The 7,317-nt window shown below is 47.1% G+C and overlaps 2 pseudogenes; both read right to left on the bottom strand.

Moving 5' to 3' along the window:
* DUX4L43 (double homeobox 4 like 43 (pseudogene)) lies at positions 4,083 to 5,022 on the bottom strand (annotated as a pseudogene).
* Positions 6,238 to 6,899, bottom strand: PCMTD1P5 (protein-L-isoaspartate (D-aspartate) O-methyltransferase domain containing 1 pseudogene 5; annotated as a pseudogene).

Here is a 7,317-nt window from a genome sequence, read left to right as displayed (position 1 = left end):
GGGTAGAGCTGGAAGCAAGTATGTACCCAGTGAACTGCCTTCTGCTTACAAGTGGGAGGTAAATAATGGGTACACGCACGGTCATCAAGATGGAAATAACAGACACTCCAAAAGGGAGGAGGAGGGTAAGAGGGGGACGAGGAATGAATTAATCGCCCCTCAGAGACAACGTCCACCACGTGGGTAACGGATACACTGGAGGTCCACTTCTACATCCGGAAGCAGTAGTAAGCTGATCTAACAAACAAGCACATACACCCCCTGAGTCTGTAAAATACCAAAACAATGACGACAGCACCAGCAGCAGCAGCAGCAACAACAACAGAACAGAAGCTGGAACACAAAACCACCACCACCACCACCACAATCACCAGTTGGGGGTTTGGGGAGTCTGGCCGCGCTCGAGGCCCTCAGGCTCAGTCCCCTCGGGATTAAAAAAGAAAACAGCAGACTCATTCCTGTCTGTAGGCAGGAAAAATCCAATCAAAGTTCTCCGTTGCTAGAAAGGGAAGTAGAATAAGGAGAAGGGCTTATTGATCTTCTTGTGATCGATCGAGACCATACATGTAGAAAAAAATTAAATACAGACAGCAACAGTTTCTACACTGTTCAAAAGCATCGGAGATCAGGCGCACCACACACCATGGGGCTTGAGCCACTAGAAAGAAAAGGCAGGCCGGGCGCGGTGGCTCACGCCTGTCATCCCAGTACTTTGGGAGGCCGAGGCGGGCAGATCACGAGGTCAGCAGATCGAGACCATCCTGGCTAACACGGTGAAACCCCGTCTCTACTAAAAATACAAAAAATTAGCCGGGCCTGGTGTGGGCGCCTGTAGTCCCAGCTACTCGGGAGGCTGAGGCAGGAGGATGGCATGAACCCGGGAGGCGGAGCTTGCAGTGAGCCGAGATAGCGCCACTGCACTCTGGTCTGGGCGAAAGAGCGAGACTCTGTCTCAAAAAAAAAAAAAATAGCCAGGCATAGTGCTGCATGCCTGTAGTCCCAGCTACTCAGGAGGCTGTGGTAGAACAATCACTTGACCCAGCAGTTTGAGGCTGCAGTGAGCTAAGATCATGCCACTGCACTCTGGCCTGGGTGACAGAGCGAAACCCCATCTCAAAACAAAGAACAACCAAAAACCTACAAGCATACTCAGAGATAGTGTGGGTTTGGTTCCAGACAACCACAATAAGGAAAATGTTACAATCAAGTTAGTCACATACACATTTTGTTTCCCAGTGTTTATAAAAGTTATGCTTAAACTATGTTGTAGTCTAATGAGTATTTAATAATTAATTATTAATTAATTAGTAATCGCATTATGTCTAAAAAACTATGTACATACCTTAACTTAAAATACCTCATTGCTGAAAAATACTAATGAATATCTGAGCCTCATCAGGTCATAATCTTTTTGCTGGTGAGTGAAGGGGTGGCCTGCCCCTCCACACTTGCGGGTATTTCTAGTGAGGTGGGACGAGAGACTGAGAAAACAAGTAAGACACAGAGACAAAGTATAGAGAAGCAACAGTAGGCCCAGGGGACCAGCGCTCAGCATGACAAGGACCTGCACAAGCACCGGCCTCTGAGTTCCCTTAGTTTTTATTGGTTATTATTTTCATTATTTCAGCAAAAAGGAATGTAGTAGGAGAGCAGGGTGATAATAAGGAGAAGGTCAGCAAAAAACATGTGAGCAAAAGAATCTATGTCATAATTAAGTTCAAGGGAAGTTACTATGATTGGACGTGCACGTAAGCCAGATTTATGTTTCTCTCCACCCAAACATCTCAGTGGAGTAAAGAATAACAAAGCAGCATTACTGCAAACATGTCTGTCCTCCCACCATAGGGCGGTTTTTCTCCTATCTCAGAATTGAAGAAATGTACAATCGGGTTTTATACTGAGACATTCAGTTCCCAGGGGCAGGCAGTAGACAGTGGCCTTCCTCTATCTCAACTGCAAGAGGCTTTCCTCTTTTACTAATCCACCTCAGCACAGACTCTGAATGGGTGTCGGGCTGGGGGACAGTCAGGTCTTTCTCATCCCACGAGGCCATATTTCAGACTATCATATGGGGAGAAACTTTGGACAATACCCTGCCTTCAAGGGCAGAGGTCCCTGCGGCTTTCTGCAGTGCATTATGCCCCTCGTTTATTGAGATTAGGGAATGGCAATGACTTTTACCAAGTATACTGCTGGTAAACATTTTGTTAACAAGGCACGTCCTGCACAGCTCTAGATCGCTTAAACCTTGATTTCATACAACACATGTTTTTGTGAGCTCCAGGTTGGGTCAAAGTGGCTGAAGCAAAGTGGCTGGGGCAAAGCTACAAATTAACAACATCTCAGCAAAGCAATTGTTTAAAGTACAAGTCTTTCAAAATGGAGTCTCTTATGTTTTTCCTTTCTATATAGACACAGTAACAGTCTGATCTCTCTTTCTTTTCTCTACAGTGAGGGTCTTGCCTCTATGTTGATGGCTGCTGACTGATCAGTGTGGGGGCTGCTGAAGATTGGGTGCCTGTGTCAATTTCTTAAAACAATGAAGTTTGTTCCTTTCACAAAACATTTCCCTGTAGCATGTGATGCTGTTTGATAGCATTTTATCCACAGTAGAACTTCCTTCAAAATTGGAGTAAACCCTCTCAAACCCTGCTGCTGCTTTATCAACTAGGTTTATGGAATATTCTAAATCCTTTGTTGTTATTTCAACAAACTTCATAGCATCTCCACCTGGAGTAGATTCTATCTCAAGAAAATATTTTCTTTGCTCATCCATAAGCAACTCCCCACTTGTTCAAGTTTCATCATGAGTTTACAGCAATTTAATCTCATCTTAAGGCCCTAATTCTAATTCTGGTTGTCTTGTGATTTCTACCACATCTGTAGGGACTTCCTCCACTGACATCCTGAGCCCTCAAAGTCTTCCATGAGGGCTGGAATCAACTTCTTCCAAACTCCTGTTAATGTTGATATTTCAACCTCCTCCCATCAATCACAAATGTCCTTAATGGCATTTGCTATTAAGGACATTTGTGATTCACGGGAGGAGGTTGAAATATCATGAAGGGATTAATGGTGAAACCTTTCCAAAAGGTTTTCAATTCAGTTTATCCAGATTCATCAAAGAAATCACTATCTATGACAGCTATACCTTTATAAAATGCATTTATTATTTAATATAAACACTTGAAAGTCAAAACCACTCCTTGATCCACAGGCTGAAGGATAGATATTGTATTAGCAGCCATGAAAATAACATTAATTTCCAAGTACATCTCCATCTAAGCTTCTGGGTAGCTAGGTGAATTGTCAATAAGCAGCTATCTTTTTTCTTTTTTTCTTTTCTTTCCTTTTTTTTTTCCTTTATGTAGTTTCCCTCTTGTTACCCAGGCTGGAGGGCAGTGGCGTGGTCTCGGCTCACTGCAACCTCCGCCTCCAGGGTTCAAGCCATTCTTCTGCGTCAGCCTCCCAAGTAGCTGAAATTACAGGTACCACCACCATGGCCGGCTAATTTTTTTGTGTTTTTATTAGAGACAGGGTTTCATCATTTTCGCCAGGCTGGTCTCCAACTCCTGACCTCAGGCGATCCACCCACCTCGCCTCCCAAAGTGCAGTGATTACAGGTGTGAGCCACTGTGCCTGGCCAAGCAGCAATCCTTTAAAGGAATCATTTTTGTTTTTTCTTTTTTTGTTTTTTGTTTTTTTCTGAGCAGTAGGTCTCAATAGTGGGATTAAAATATTCAGTAAACCATGCTCTTAACAGATGTGTTGTCACTCAGATTGTGATGTTCCATTTCTAGAGCACAGAAAGAATAGATTTTGCATAATTCTTAAGGGCCCTGAGTTTTTCAGAGTGGTCAATGAGCATTGGCTATAACTTAAAGTCACCAACTGCAGTGGTCCTCAAAGAGAGTCAGCCCATCCTTTGAAGTTTTGAAGTCAAGTGTTGATGTCTCTCTAGCAATGAAAATTTTACATCTTCAGTAAGCTTAATCATTTCTAGCTCTGGACTTAAATTGAGAGACATGCAATTCTTCCTTTCATTTGAGCTCTTTGAGGCCACTGTGGTTACTAATTAACATCCCCAGCGGGTGTCATCCTCCTCCCTCCTCAATCGAGTTCACCCACACAGGGGCGTGGGGAACAGGGCTTCCCGCACCCCACACGCCCTGCACGCCTGGGGCTCTCCACATGGGGCTTTCGTGAGCCAGGGAGCAAGGGCCTTCCCCCCGCTCCAGCCCAGCCAGGCTGCGCAGGCAGAAGGAATCTCTCAACCTGCCCCTGCACGCGGGGATTTTGTGTTCGCTGCCCTGGCTCCTCTGGAAGTAGGACTGTCCCACCCTCAGACTCCTCGGTGGCCTCCGCAGCCTAACAAATGCCAGGAGGAAGAGGACCCGCAACACGGCGGCCTGCTGGGTGCGTGCTCAGTGGGACAGCTTGGGCCCCCTCAAGCTGAGTCACAGGGGCAAGGTGTGTTTGCGCCACCCACGTCCCACCGGAGTCCGGGTGGGGCTAGAGCCCCATGTCGCCAGGGCAGCATGGGAAACCGAATACCGGGCACCTCCACCTCTGAAGCTCGCGACCCCGGAGGCCTCCGCGTCAACCACAGATGCAAGCCATCCAGGCACCTCCCAACCACTCCAGGAGTCGGGGCGCTCGTCTACACACACCCCCAGCCTGTTAGATGAGCTCCTGTCAAGCCCAGAGTTTCAGCAAAAGGCACAACCTTTCCTAGATCCGGCGCCACTGGGGAAGCTGAAGGACGTGGAAGAGCCCGCTCCGCTGGAACCACTCCTCAGCCAGGAAGAACACCCGGCTCTGCTGGAGGAGCTTTAGGACGCGGGGTTGGGGTGGGGTGGGGGCAGGGCCGCGGCCTCTCTTTCGCAGTGAACCTCTGACTCGGTATGGAGCGGCTTGTCTTCCCTTCCAGCTGACCTGCTTAGGATCCCTGAGTTCCAGGTCCCGTGAGAGACTCCACTCAGAGGAGGGCTATCATTCTTTGCTGAGCATTCCGGGGATCCCAGGGCCCGTCCAGGTACCGGGAGGCGGACCGTCTACTGCTCATGTGCGGATTAGCAGGCAGTAGCCTAGGTTTTCTAACTAGCCTAGGCGGAGCTCTCTTCCCTTCCCTCTTGCCCCCTGCCGCGTTCTTCAGTGGGGCGGGCGGAGACCTCCATCCCGGGAAACACTGGCCCGGTCAGACGCCAGGCCTGCTCTTCTTTCCGCGTCTCTCCTCCTCTGCCTCCCCGCCCCACCTTCACTCGCCTACCCTTGCCCCGCCAGCTTCCTCGGCATCGCTGTGGAGCGCCTGACAGCTAAATGCAGACCCGAGACCCCGTGCAAGCCAGGGTGCTGCCCTTTCTAAGCGGGAGGGAACTCAGGCAGAGATGGGGAGGCGAACGGAGACAGAGAGGGAGAAAGCGATGGAGGGAGGAAAGAACGGATGGACCGTGGGACCTTGGAAAGGATGGAGGGATAGAAGGAGGGGGAGAGGGAAGGAGGGAGGGAGGAAGGGAGGAACTGAGGGAGGGACGGAGGGAAAGAGGGTGGGAGGGAGCAAGAAACAGAGAGAGGAAGGCAGAGAGAAAAGTAGTCTTCTGCCTCCAGGACCAGCAGGATCTCGCACTCCGGGAAAATGTTGGGTGCCCAGTGCAGGCTAAGTGCTCGGGCCACAGCCGCGTCGGCCTGCGGCGCTCTCACCGGCCCTCCGGATCGCCAGCCTGGGTTACTTCATCCGGGAGCAATTCAGACGAATTTCGTCTCCCAAGGAATGAGCGAACTGCCCAGAGAGCAATGAGCCGAGACTCGGGTGATTGTCCATTTTTCATCCACATGGTTCACAGATGAGATAGCCCCACGTTGAGCCTGCAACGGAGCGCGAGGTGGATAGTCCCGTCCACACAGGAGTCACACTCAGGCCGACTGAAGCGTGGTTTCGGGTTCCACGTTCCTTTGCCTTCTGCAAGGGGGCCTGTTGCTCATGCGTCTCTAGCCCCCGAAAGCGTGACCATGTTGACTGTTTGTTTCCCGAGCTCTGTGGGGACACAGAAACCTCCAGAGAACCGTGGAAAAGCAGCATCGTGTCTTCGCTCTCCTTTCCAGTTTCCTGTTTGGAAACAGGCCATAGTGGAGACTCCCCATGTCGCAGGAAACAGGAATCCATCCTCAGGCCGTGATGCACCGGGGGTTTCTTTTCTCTGTAGTTTCGCTCTCGTTTTCCACATGAAAATGAACGAGATCCGTAAGGAATGAGAAAAGGGAGAATCAGAAATAGCACACAAGTCTTGACTACTGTTACATTCCACTTTGAAATCACTCTGAGGTGAAACAACAATTTTCCAAGATTTAAAGAAAAATAGATTTTATAAAAGGGATTCTTTTATTCACTCAATACATCATTTATGTTACTGACAGTAACAAGTGATTTTTTTCACTATAATTTGCTCTGATGAAATAAATAATTCTTTTAATTCCTAACAAATGCTACATTTTCAAGACTAAAGGAATTATCAGTAGGCATTCTTTCTTCTTGATCTAAGTTATTTATCTCTAAAATATGTCAAGTAAGCTTTTAAAGATTCAGGGAGGGGCAGCTTCATGATTTTTTTCTCTCAGTAAATTTTGAGGTGGCTCCTCTGGCTTCATCGTTTCACTGTGATCTTTTTCTTCCTCTTCTTTGTTATCTTCTTCCATTTCTTCATCCTCCTCACTGTCTAGAGGCTGAGGAATAAGCTGATTACCCACAAATATGTAAGTGGTAATTCTCTGTTTAGCTCTCTTTCTTTTCCTTTTGGGTGGAGGTCTTTGAAGAATCCCCTTGGCCGGCATCTCATCATTTATGAAATTTCTAATTGTGTGTCGAATGTAAATAAGAGCCAAGTCCTGTAGATTCCTGACAGTGATTCCTTACAGATTTGTAGTGGTGAGGGTTAGATTTAATTTTATATAAGGTTTAAATAATTGTTAAGCATATGTAACCTGATCTGAATTTGCACTTCCTCTATGAAAACTTCATTTATCTAATAAGGAAATCAAATGCTTTGTAGACCTGTTTACCTTACTTTTGTTGCAATCACTGTTGCTGGGTTGCTGTATATATATTCCGGGCAATATATGAGTGTAATAACAATACAAAATACTGAATAATTTAGCTTTTAAAAATCCCACAAATTTTATGAAATTTTACAGCCCTGCTACTTTTGCTTTTCAATCTCTTGCCAAAAGACACGAGTAAAATATCTGCTTCTCTCAGAGAGATTTTAAGAGCACAGCAAGTGAATTATTAAAATAGGAAGTATGTACTTAATACAACTCTTT

The sequence above is a fragment of the Homo sapiens genome, chromosome 22, assembly GCF_000001405.40.
Source record: "Homo sapiens chromosome 22, GRCh38.p14 Primary Assembly".
In the NCBI taxonomy this organism is placed as follows: Eukaryota; Metazoa; Chordata; class Mammalia; order Primates; family Hominidae; genus Homo; species Homo sapiens.
Note: the sequence above shows the minus strand (reverse complement) of the source record. Positions and strands in the feature narration are given on the sequence as shown.